At 35.8% G+C, this 13,725-nt stretch overlaps 1 long non-coding RNA gene across 2 annotated transcripts in view, besides 1 other annotated feature; it reads right to left on the bottom strand.

Moving 5' to 3' along the window:
- The window catches only part of LOC124900817 (uncharacterized), a 140,808-nt gene extending 139,264 nt beyond the window's left edge, over nt 1-1,544 (bottom strand). For both annotated transcript variants that reach the window (XR_007058378.1, XR_007058377.1), the window contains exon 1: nt 1,353-1,544. This is a non-coding gene — a long non-coding RNA (uncharacterized LOC124900817). The remainder of the gene's footprint in view (nt 1-1,352) is intronic.
- Nucleotides 4,409-4,548: an enhancer, noted in NCBI's record as "active region_22168". NCBI's record gives its function as "activates an Ori minimal core promoter by ATAC-STARR-seq in GM12878 lymphoblastoid cells {active_cell/tissue: GM12878}" and the evidence as "EXISTENCE:reporter gene assay evidence [ECO:0000049][PMID:35858748]".

Genomic DNA, 13,725 nt, shown 5'->3' with positions numbered 1-13,725 from the left:
CAAAAACTTAGAGTTAATAACTTTACTAATGATGCTGAATAGATACACTTTTTCTTGAGGTAGAGAACATATAAACATAAACTAGCATTGAGTCTCATTCATTGACCCTGTCACTATTGTGTTTCCAGTATAATGGCAGCATCTTGTAGAAGAAAATAAGCATGGACATTGGCGCAAGAAAGATCTCACAACTGCCAGTATACTGGTCTTTTATGCATGACAAAATTACTCCAACTTTCTGAGATTCATTTTTATCTTGTATACCTCATGATAAATATTGCATGACTCACGAGCCTTTGTGAAAATTAAATTATATGACATAAATGAAAATACCAAGTATTCTGCCTGCCACCTAGGAAGTGCAGAATATAATACCTGATGAAGAAGGATTAATACCTAAAAATTAGATGGGGATACAATTGAACCCTTTTTTTAAGAAAAAATAAATAACTAGAGAATAATTCGAAGTTGTTTGTTGAACAAGTATTTATATTTTAGTAGTGTGACAGACAAAAGCAATGAAATAGCGGCTGAAGAATTCATGAACCAGCAAGAACAACAGCAAAAAGAATCAGTGTGAGGGGCAGGGCAGTGGCTGCACAGAGACGATATCTTTAGCTGAGTTTGAAAAGAAAAAGAATAGCTTGATAGGTGGAGTTGACAGTCAAAGATGTTCTAAGAACAGTATGAAAGGCTGGAGCTGAGAAGGAACTGTCATGTACAAAAGATATAGAGCACGGGGGTCCAATCTTTTGGTTTCTGTATTCTACACTGGAAGAAGAAAAATTGTCTTGGGCCAACATAAAATACACTAACGATAGCTGATGATCTAAAAAACAAAACGGCAAAAAAATCTCATAATGTTTTAAGAAAGTTTACAAATTTGTGTTGAGCCACATTCAAAGCCACCCTGGGCCTCATGTGGCCATGGGCCTTGGGTTGTACAAGCTTGATTGAGCATCATTGGCTTAGGAAAATCTGAGAAAACTTTGTAAGAAGTAGTAAAATATGGATAAATAAACTGAAGCCCATCAAACAAAGGCCTTACATGCTCACCTGAGTGGCTCGAGTTTGGTATAAAAATAATACATACTAGATTCCAAAGTAGAGGAACGATACAGTGATTTAGTGATCTAGTGATTTAGAAGCAAGCAATCTGGCAATCAAGAGCATGATGGATCATGCTGGAAAAAAACTTCAGAGAAGTGGAGAGAATGGATAAAAGCACCTCTAATAATCCCAAAATGAGGTGATGGAGGCCTGAAATGAGACAGTGGTGAGGAGTCCAGCTCCTAGCCAAAAACCTATAATCATCTTTCAAACCCTACCACAGACAATTGCAAAGGATTTACCTGGCAGGCTTCACAGGGAAAAATTGTCCTCCCCACACCAGACTGTGTGCAGCCAGTAAACTGCAGTCTCTGAAGGGAGCTGCAGTCAAGGGCTCAGTCACTCCATCCTCAGCACCATGCGCTTATGCATATCTGCATCTCTAGCCCTCCCTGCATTCAGAGAGAGGAGGTCTCTTCATCGGGTCATTCTGCGGAGGCCTCCTCACTGGGGAGGACACTTGAAGCCTCTTTTTTCTCTCTGACTCAATATTCACTGTTTCCCACACCTAGTCCTCCCCTCTCCAGCTCACCCCCATCCCCACCCCTGGGTCCATAAAATGGCCAGAGCCTTTTGTTCGGGCTCCCGTACGTAGGTGGTGAGATAATTCCCCGCCCCACTCCCCCGTGTGCACTGATACATTGGACCTTCACCCAGTGCCCTTCTGTGGAGAAAAAAGGAACATTAAAATGGTTAAGCTTTTTCCTCTTGCCTATTCTACTACCTTAGAAAGTCATTAAAGGATTGGCTGTTACTTTCACTTTGGCTTGTTGTCTTAATTGACCACTCCACCACGGGCGTCTCAGCTCTCTCCAGCTCAGCTCAGCTCTTGACAGGTGGCAGAGCGAATTTTGAAAAATGTTGAATATAGTAGACACCCTAGCTCTGATCTCCATTCTTGTTTTAAGCAAATCTCCTACACTCTCAGTCCTCAGAACTATAAACTACAATTGTAAAACATTTCTCAGAGAAAAACTTATAATATTTAAATACTAGTTTTAAATTCTTTAAAAAAAGATCATGACAGTGTTTCAATTTCAAATTTACAATATAATATGCTAAAAGTCCATACTTCATGGTCTAGACTAATTTAAATGAAATTTTTGTATCACCAGCATTTGTAATGTAAATCCAAGAGTCGAGAGATCTTTAAATTATTGCATTTCAAAAACATTACTGGAAAATGATAAACTATAGGGACCTAAAGTCTCAAACAACTATGATAGAGATTGAATACCTGACAATCTTTAAAAGTAGGGATGTGAGGAAATGAGGAGAGGATTTATTTGCCTCCATTGTACTCATCTCTAACATTAAATATTCAAGTTCATGGAAAAAGCAATGTGTTTATTTTACGGTGCTCTGATACTGTGATAACTACTGTGACTTCTTATGGGAATATTGCTGCATAACAATTGCCAGAGAAGCTCATCAATCTGTGTTTCTCAAATGTGAGCAGCTCATTAGTACAATCTCCACCCAGGGAACACACAGAGCTCCCTTCTCTGCTTCATCCTGCGATTTCCATCATGTCCCTGGACCATCATTACTATTTGTATTTGTAAAATCCTTCTCTTGCCTCTTCCTTTCTGTTATCATTTGATCACTTTGCCCTAAAAGCTGGATAACTGAGTACTCAGTCACTTCTTCTTTTTTTTTTTTTTTTTGAGATGGAGTCTTGCTCTGTTGCCCAGGCTGGAGTGCAGTGGCATGATCTCCACTCACTGCAACTTCTGCCTCCCAGGTTCAAGCGATTCTCCTGCCTCAGCCTCCCAAGTAGCTGGGATTACAGGCGTCTGCCACAATGCCTGGCTATTTTTTGTATTTTTAGTAGAGAAGGGGTTTTGCCATGTTGGCCAGGCTGGTCTGGAACTCCTGACCTCAGGTGATCCACCTGCCTCAGCCTCCCAAAGTGTTGGGATTACAGGCGTGAGCCACCACCCTCTCAGTCACATCTAAAGGGGACAATGTGTGAATCAATGACAGACATGAGTATTGCTCTCTTCTTTTACTTTGTAAATTCCTATATATGCATTCCTATATATGCATTGATAATAAAACATTTAAGGTTTTACAGAAGTTTTTGAGGAAAAGGCCTAGTACAAAAAGTTTTAAATCTAGTATAGAAACTACCATTAGGTTAGAAAACTAAGAGTTTTCTGCATACAAGATTTTCAGAATGATAGCATATTTCCCTTCTCAAATATTAAACTGTACTGTTTTTCTTAAAATTATTAAATAGTTGTTTAGTATGAAACTATGTTTCTTCTTTTCCTAGCTTTTCTCTAGTATGGTATCTTTTGTCCTGGCAAATAACCACTGTTTAATATACATTCCTTAAAACTAGCTTTTGTATTTAAAAGCTATGTAAATTATATACAAAGTCAAAAATCTTCAATAAATAAAATAAAGAGAAACATGGTAATTTTTATTTCGCCTGGTTGCAAATGGCCTGTAGACAATGAGGATCTATCTAAGGGGCAGGAGCAGGTTAAGGTGGGATCCCTGACAAGCATTCTAGCTCTATGTCCCTCCTTCAGCAAGAGCCACCAGATATGAGCAGAAATTTCTATACTTAAATACAGCACTCAGCCAGGCTGTTTCAATGAACTGATTTAAAATACAAGAATCACAAAACAAATGAAGAGACATCATCAGTTTCCCCACAATGAATTCGAGATTTGTTGAGAAAAACTGGTAATATTCTTCCCTTTTAAGGAAAATATTCCTTGAGGATAAATGATTAATTCCTATTAAAATGAGAAAGTAGATTTAAAACACAAAGATAGTTTGAGAAACATCCAAGGATTCATTGACTTTTGCATTTACTACATTTTCTTTAAAAAGGTACCCTCTCACTTTTAGAAAAAAACTCAATTTACGCAAATTAAGCTTGTTTTACCCAGGTTTTATAAAATCTGCCCTTACCTGACAAGCCCTGTGCTAGGATCAATGGCTAGACATAATGATTGTTTGTGATTGTAGCAGGAATGATTAAAAAGCACATTGTTTCACCCACATCTGCATGAATATATATCACACTACATGACATTTTAAAATTCTAAAGTATGAGTAAAATCATAACCGTACATTGACATCAAGGAGTGATTTGTCTTCTCCTACGCAAGTGCAGATTATTTTACCACAAGTGCAAATTTAAATTCTCTGCATGTCTTCTCTGGCTTCTCATTTATTTTCTAGTTACACATTTTGGAAACTGAGATGGAGATTTTTTAAATAATTAAATAAGAAAATAAAAATTCATCATTGTTTGAATGCAAAATGGCTCAAGTCCCTGATAGGTTAATAGGGAGCATTATTATTGTTACAGTTCAACAAACATGTCACTTTGACATAACTAAAGGTGATTTCCCTTCAGCTGGTCATAGGCAGGTGAGAATAAATGGAGATTATTTAAAGAGAATGACTGACATCTGCTGGAATACAAGAGAAATGAACAGAAAACAATGCAAGCATAAATGCTTACAGTTAACAGTTTCAGAATACATCAATGTTTACAATCTGTAACAGAACAATGTTAGCATAAATCCTCAAAAACAGAGGAATAATGGGGTGTAATGGAAAGGGGCATCTTGTGTAATTCTGTTCTGTTGCACTATGCTGAGTCCAATCAAGATAGCTTCACCCTAGAGCAGTTATACAATCTCTAAAAATAGTGCATTTCTGTTGCCTGTGATTTTTCTACATGTTATCGTTGATTTCTATAGTCTGTGGGTTCCTGTACCTTGACTCTGGCCACGTCTGTGCAATCAACTAAACGGGCTTTACAAATCTACAACCAAGGAATTAATTAGAATTGATCATTTGGAGGGTCAGAACACAATTTAGCCCCAAAATAGACAGATCCATGCCATCAAACATTGCTGATCTATGCCTTAAATTGGGCTTTAACGTAGTTCCCATTTTAAAAATGATTTCTTAATGAGGCAAGGGGAGAACGATTTCTTGAGAGCTTACTAAGTTATTCCATTTAGGATATCCTATAATTTCACGTGGTAGGTATTTTTAACTCCATTTTGTAAATGAGAAGATTTAATGGCAGAGAGGTGCAGAAATGTGCCCAACGTTACACAGATTGTAAGTGACAGAGCTGAAATTCATTACTTAATTCTACCTGATTCCACGGTTGGTGCTTTTCACCATACAATTTAATTCAAGGTACTTTTGTATTTTCCAGTGTCAATACCATTTTACGCTACTTTTTAACTGTATACCTTTCTAGTGAAAACTATTAGGGACTGTCCTGAAGAGTATCATGATCTGGTCCTGCTTTTGGATATTCTCTGCAAGCAAGTACTTGGTAAAGATCTGTAAATCAGTAAGAGAGTATTCAACAGAGTCAATGGAACCCATCTTTCCTTTTTTTCTCTAGAACAGTTTAAAAAGCAGTCACAGTCCTCAGTTTCTTCATTAGTACAATGATGGAGATGGACTAGATAACTCCTAATGTATCTTCCAGGGGTGCATCTGGTTAGGAATACAGCAAAGGAAAACAGGTTCATTCAGTTCATTATTATTCTGCAATAACACACTAACATAATCAGGGCAATTAGCTACATATTGTACTCATCATTCATTAATTGCAAAAGTGTTTTTTTTTTTAATTTTTGTCTTTGTTTATAATGCCTCATGGAAATTGAAGTGAAAATATGTACTCGAAGATAGTCTATTTTTACACACAAACACACCTGCCAAGAGCCTATCTTTCCTGACAGAAACATTTGAAAAAAAATATATTTTCATGTTATTTTTCTCTTACTCTTTCCACAGACTAAAAACGAAATCTACATTTTGCCTGAAAAAGAAAATGACTATGATCAGAATTTAAAACACATGCAAAAATTATTTTAAAAAGTTTCATAATAAAAGATTATTTCTATGAATTACAATACAATATATCTAATATTGCACCAGCTTCTTAAGAAGTTTTCAAATTTCCAGAAGTTGTATTTTTTAAAAAAATTCCAACATGCATAAACATAGTCTGAATATGGTTTCAAATGTTAACATAGACGGTAAAAGTAACACAATACAAATGTCTTCTGTAATTTATCAAATTTCTGCATTAAAATATATAGCAGGTTGAATCTTGAATTCAATACTACCATCTAGTGGAAATCAACCAAAAATGCAGCAGATAATGCTACTTTTGTTTTTTCACAAGTACAACTGCTATTCTTCCCATTGTCTTGCAATAACTAAACCAGTGGTCAAAGGACTGATGAGAACCTCTTTGAAATAAGTATTTTCTTGTAACAAAAACATTATTTGTTTTATTAGGTAACATGCTTATGGAATATACTAAACAATCTGACTGATTATAAAAATATAAATATAAAGTATCTAATCATGGGCTTATTCTTGACAACCAATCTCTCATACAAGACATTTATATATATATATATATATATATATATACACGTGCTTTTACATAAACATGTGTAAGACATTTTATATATATAAGACATTATCTATTATATATGACATTTATGTATATTGATTGTGCTTTTGGATGCAATTTCCTAGTATTTTTTGAGGATTTTTGCATGTATATCCATCAGAGGTATATATATAATTATATATTATATATATTACAATATATTTTATATATATATAATTTTAAGGAAAAGCAGAGAGTTTATTCAGTGATTTAACTTCCTTAAAGCAAGCCCTTTTGAAATTCTTTTTGCTTTGTAAATACATAAACCAGTAAGACAGTTGTTTATTATCATTATAAAGCATCATGTACTTTACATAATTTTATTTATATTTAGGAAATACAGGTGCAAGTATCTTACATGCATATATTGCCCTGTGGTGAAGTCTGGGCTCTTAGTGTACCATCACCCAAACAGTGAACATTGTACCCAATAGGTAATTTTTCAACTCTTACTCCCTGACCCCTCCCCATGTTTGGAGTCCCCAGTGCCTGTTATACTCATCTGTATGTTTATGTGTACCCATTGTTTAGCTCCCACTTATAAGTGAAAACATGCAACTTTTTACTCTCTGTTTCTCAGTTATTTCCCTTAGGATAGTGGCCTCCAGTTCCAACTATCCATACTGCTGCAAAAGACATAGTTTCTTTCTTTTTTTTGGCTAAGTAGTATTCCATGGTGTATATATACCACATTTTCTTCATCCATTCCTCCATTGATTGAGACTTAGGTTGATTTCATGTCTTTAATATTGAGAGTAGTGCTGTGATAAACATATGAGTATAGCTGTTTTTTTAAATACAGTGATTTATTTTCCTTTAGGTAGAAACCTAGAAGAAGGATTGCTGGACTGAATGATAGCTCTTTTTTAGTTCTTTGAGAGCTCTCCATACTGTTTTCCATAGGGTTTGTACTAATTTACATACCGACCAAGAGCATTTAAGTGTTCCCTTTTCTCCTCATCCATGCCAACATCTGCTAGTTTTTGACTTTTTAATAACAGCCATTCTAACTAAGGTAAGATGATATCTCATTGTGGTTTAAATTTGCATTTCTCTGATGATCAGTAATGTTGATAATTTTATAATATGTTTGTTGTCTGCTTGTGTGTCTTTTTTTGAAAAATTTCTAAAAGTTTTCTTAAATTAAAAAAAAAAATTTCTGTTCATGTCCTTTGACACTTTTTAGTGGGGTTGTTTTTCTTGTTAATTTGTTTGAGTTTCTTATAGAATCTGCAACTTAGTCTTTTTCAGATGCAGACTTTGCAAATATTTTCCCCCTTTCTGTAGGATATCTGTTTACTCTGTTGATTGCTCCTTTTGCTGTGCTGAAGCTTTTTAGTTTAATTAAGTCCTCTTTATTTATTTTTGGTTTTTTTTTTGCATTTGCTTTTGAGGACTTGGTCATAAATTATGTATCTAGGCCAATGTCCAGAAGAGTTTTTTCCAAGTTTTCTTCCAGAGTTTTTATGGTTTTGGTTCTTACATTTAAGTCTAATCCATTTTGAGTTAATTGCTGTATTTGGTGAGAGGTATGAGTCCAGTTTCATCCATCTACATATGGCTATCCAATGTTCCCAGCACCATTTATGGAATAGGATGTCATTTCCCCAGTGTATATTTTTGCAGACTTTGTCAAATATCAGTTGGTTTTAAGTATACAGCTTTATTTCTGAACTCTTCTGTTCCATTGATCTGTGTGTTTATTTTCATATCAGTACCATGCTGTTTTGGTTACTATAGCATTATAGCATAGTTTGAAGTCAGGCAATGTGATGCCTAAGCCTTTGTTCTGTTTCCTTAGGATTGCTTTAGTTATTTGAGCTCTTTTTTGATTCCATATAAATGTTATGATTCATTTTTCTAATTCTGTGAAAAATGGTGTTCCTAATTTGATAGGGATTGCACTGAATCTATAGGTTGCTTTGGGCAATATGGTCATTTTACCAATACTGATTCTTCCAACCCATGAGCATGGGATGTGTTTCCCTTTGGTTGTATCATCTATGATTTCTTTCCCCTGTGTTTTGTAGTTCTCTTTACATAAATTATTCACCTCCGTGGTTAAATATATTCCTATGTATTTTTTTGGTATTGTAAATGGGATTGAATTCTTGATTGGGGCCTCAGCTAGATTATTATGGATGTATAGTAATGCTACTAATTTCTGTACATTAATTTTGTATCCTAAAACTTTACTAAATTTGCTTATCAAATCTAAGTGTTTTGGTGGAATAGTTTTCTAGATATAAGATCATATCATCCATGAACAGACATAATTTGAATTTCTCTTTTCCAATTTGGATGCCTTTTATTTTTCTTCTCTTGTCTGATTGCTCTGGTGAGGACTTCCAGTACTATGCTGAATAAGAATGGTTAAAGTGGGCATCCTTGTCTTGTCCCAGTTGTTAGAGGAAAGGCTTTCAACTTTTCCACATTAAGTGTGATGTTGGCTGTAGGCTTGTTGTATATGGTCTTTATTATGTTGAGATATGTTCCTTCTATGCCTAGTTTGTGGAGGATTTTTATCATGGAGTGATGCTGAATGTTATTGAATGCTTATTCTGCATCTACTGAAATGATCACATGGTTTTATCCTTAATTTGGTTGAAGTTGTAGATGTTAAATATCATTGGCTGGGTGCAGTGGCTCACGCCTGTAATCCTAGTACTTTGGGAGGCCAAGGCGGGTGTTTCACAAGGTCAGGCTTTCAAGACCAGCCTGGCCAACATAGTGAAACCCTGTCTCCACTAAAAATACAAAAAATTAGCCAGGCATGGTGGCAGGCATCTGTAATCCCAGCTACTCAGGAGGCTGAGGCAGGAGAATTGCTTGAACCTGGGAGCCAGAGGTTACAGTGAGCTGAGATCATGCCACTGAACTCCAGTCCATGTGACAGTGCAAGGCTCCGTCTCAAAAAAAAAAAATCCTTGCATCCCTTGGATAAATCCCAGCTGATCATGATGTATTATCTTTTGGGGCTGATTTTGGATGTGATTTGCCAGTATTTTGTTGAGGATTTTTGCATGTATATTCATCAAGGATATTGGTCTGTAGTTTTCTTTTTTTGTTATGTCCTTGTCTGGTTTTGGTATCAAGGTGATACTGGCCTTGTAGAAAGAATTAAGGACAATTCCCTCCTCCTCAAAATCTTTTGGAATAGTTTCAGGAGGATTGGTATTAGTTCTTTATTGTGTGTTTGGAAGAATTTGGCTATGAATGCATTTGGTCCTGGGTGTCTTTTTGTTGGGGGATTATTATTGATTCAATCTTGCTACTCTTTATTGGTCTGGTCGAGAGTTCTGTTTTTCTCTTGTTCAATCTTAGGAACTTGTGTGTTTCCAGGACTTTATCCATTCCCTCTAAGTTTTCTAGTGTGTGACTCTGTAATTGTTCATAATAGTCTCTGACGATCTTTTGTACTTCTGTAGTATCAGTTGTAATGTCCTTTTTTCATTTCTGATTATGTTTATTTGGATCTTCTCTCTTCTTCTCTTGGGTAGTCTAACTAGTGGTTCATCAAAACACCTTACCCCTAAAGACACAAATAGTAAAGGGATGGAGAAGATATTCCATGCAAACAGAAACCAAAAGCAAGCAGGAATAGCCCATACTTACATTAGATAAAACAGATTTTAAATAAAAAACATTAAAAAAAAAGACAAGATCGTTATATAATGATAACAGGATCAATTCAGCAAGAGGATATAACAATCCTAACTACATATGCACCCAATATCAAAGCACCCAAGTTCACAAAACAAAAATTACTAGACCTAAAGAAATAGACAGCAATACAATAATAGTGAGAGACTTTAACATCCCATTCACAGCACTAGACAAGACATCATCAAGATAGAAAATTAACAAAGGAACATTGGACTTAAATTGAACTTTAAATGGACTTAACAGACATTTACAGAACATTTTACCCAAAAATTACAGAATATACACTCTTTTCATCAGCACATGAAACATTCTTCAATACACCACATATTAGTCCACAAAACTAGTGTTAACAAATTTTTTAAAATCAAAATCACGTCAAGGATCTTCTCAGACTATGTTGAGAAAAAGCTAGAAGTCAATACCAAGAGAAACCTTGGAAACTATATAAATACATGGAAATTGAACAGCATGCTCTTGAACAACCACTGGATCAATGAAGCAATTAAGACAGAAATTAAACATTTTTTGAAATGAATGAAAATGAAAGCATCTCATACCAGAACCTGTGGGATATCATAAAAGCAGTGCTAAAAGGAAAGTTTATAGCATTAAATATCTACTTCAAAAAGGTAGAAAGATCACAGATTAACACCCTAACATCACACCTCAAGGAACTAAAAAACTAAGAACAAATAAACCCAAAGTTAGCAGGAGAAAAAGAAATAACAAAGATCAGATATATGTTATAAATATAAATATATATATATGTTATAAATATATATAATATAACATATATAGATGATATATGTTATTTAGCTAAGAAGTGGCCTAGATGAAATAATACCTCTCAGTAAAAAATAGAAAGACCATGATCTATAGAATCAAATATATTTGGACTGGCATCTCAGCACCATCACTTACTAGCCAAGAAACATTGGGTTTCAGTCCTCTCATCTGAAATATAAAATAGTACTTAATTCTGGGGGGAGGTTATAAAGAGTTAAATTGTATATATGTGTGCACACATGTGTATGTGTTTGTGTATATCACACATTCACTCACTTATTAGCAATTGTTCTTATTCTTAATTCCTAATTTCTTTTATTTTGTACTTCTGCCACTATGTGTATATCCATGGTAGTCTTGCATAAACTCCTGTAGTCTGCTTAATCTTCTGTTGATAGACACTAAACTAAATCCCTGTGTTACACCAACTTCCTCTGACTATTTCTACTAGTGTCACTTTCTAAATTATCCTGGCCACCTGATTCTTGCTGTACTTACTTCTATACAGACCTATTATTGATACCGTATTAAAAAGATGCCCCCTTTTTGCAGGGTAGTTCTGAAATTCTCTTCTAGTTAATTCTGGGCAATGGTAAAGTCAAGTTAGTGAAGGTTAAATAACTGGTTTTTTGGTAGAAAGTCACCAGAAAGAACACTTCCTCCAGGAAGAAACAGACTTGTTATTTATTCCTGACTGCAACCATTGTCAAGATAAAAGAGAATATAGGCCTATGGATGTTTCAGAACTGAAAGATAGCTGATAATCCTGCACTGTTCTCATTGTGTAGATTATAAATAGTCTTTCTACTCAAAGATGGTCTAAAAGGCCGGCATTGTCTGATTCACCATACTCTTTTTAAAATTTTTTATGTATTTTCCAGCTTCAGAAATCCTGGAAGTTTGTGCTGAGATTGAGTCTCCAGTTGCCTAGATCAGGGGTTCTGATTACAAAGGTCAGAGCCTCTGCAACCGTCTTAGACATGTATCACAAGTAACAAAATAAACATGTACTGTTATTAAGCCATTGAAATTTAGAGACTCTTCACATTTGCAGCACAACCCAGCTAATTCTGATGAAAAAAATTGGTTAGTTAAATGTAAAATATATAAAGCAACTCATAAATCCATTTAGCTGAATGCAGAGAACTACATTTTAATAGGCTGAAAGCAAACAAGTGAGGTTATTCCCCAGTCCCTCTGCATTTTCGATTCCTACATTCTCTGAGGATAGTGTATATGTTTTATGTGACCTCTGACTTGCTGACATCAATTGAACAAAGATCCCAGGGTCAGGATATTTACCCTCTCTGTTCACAACTGCTTCACCTGTAAAATGATGTTAATACTTCTTGCCTGCCTAAAAGTAGCCATAATGACTATCAGGGTCCCTTTCAACCATAAAATTTATAATTCTATAGACAAAATGGTAGGTAAATTTCCTCACTATTAATGCATGGCCATGATAGAGCTGTTTCTCTATGATAGAAGGCACATGAAGTGGGTTCCCAAGAAGACAAAGCCATCTAAGGAATTCATGGCTAAAGAAATAGGGTGCTGGGGTTAAATCCTGATTTGATTCTGCTAAACTGCTCGGAGGATACAAACCATTTAATTTCAACCTTTTCAGTTACTTCCTCCTAAGATCCTTGGTGGTCCTCTTCTTTCATCTTTGTCTCACCATCACCCAACTCTACAGGCCCCAAATCTGAGTGGTAACTTACTGCAGAGTTTCCCAAGTGTTTAGCTACAGACATGGGATGTAGGGAAGTGAAGTAGGAATGGTAGAAAGGAAACATTAGTTGAACAGCTATATATCAGACACTCTGATAGAAAATTTAAATATATTACTTTTCTTAATCTTCATAATAATATTATATAGTGGGTATTATCATTGTAAAAAAAATAAGAAAACTGAGACTATGATTAATTCATAAGTAATAAGTGCAAAATCCCAAGATATTTTCCAATATATAAGAGGAAAAGAACAATTTTTTTTTTAATTTAAACAAAAGGGTTTTTTTTTCCAAGATGGTGGATTTAGAGGCTTTTGATGTTCCTCAGCCACTTGGAAATAGCAAGATAGTACATAGATATCAACTCTGTGAGCTTCAATTCAAGAAAGAAAATGGCAATCCACTAAATTGTGAAGGACACCCCAGATCCTAGGGAGAAGACCATGGGGCAAACAGTCTCTGTGACAGTGTCCAGTGATAAAAGTAAGTGAAGTCCCAGTATGTGAGAAGGCCAGAGACCCTCCCTCTGTGACTCAACTTTTCACCAGGAATCTGAGCAATTCAGGCACTTTGTTTCTCCCAAGCCCTGGAGTTAACTTGGGGAGCGGCTTGGAGACACTGAGAGGGAAAGACACCAGGAAAAAGCTGCAGGCAATTTCCCAGACCCGGGACTGAGAGCAAGACACTATTTTTAATGTCAGCACATACAAAGTCATTCTTTGGCCACCTGGCACTGTGGCCATGCAGGCATTTCAGTCTCAGGCCACATTTTGGAGGTCATGCTCTGGAGCAGGGTAGGGGCCTCCACAGCCAGAATCGTAGAAAGCACCTCAGCAGTAGGCACTGGAATTGTGCTCTCCTCCATCGCAGGCCTGGGGTGGGAGGAGATCTGCTATAACAATGGTTTCTACGAGGGACAACACTTGCAGGCAGGGCCAGCTTGGTGACCTGGAAGTGGTCTGCATGTGC

The sequence above is a fragment of the Homo sapiens genome, chromosome 4 (genome assembly GCF_000001405.40).
Source record: "Homo sapiens chromosome 4, GRCh38.p14 Primary Assembly".
NCBI lineage: Eukaryota > Metazoa > Chordata > Mammalia > Primates > Hominidae > Homo > Homo sapiens.
This window is presented reverse-complemented; position numbering and strand designations above follow the sequence as displayed.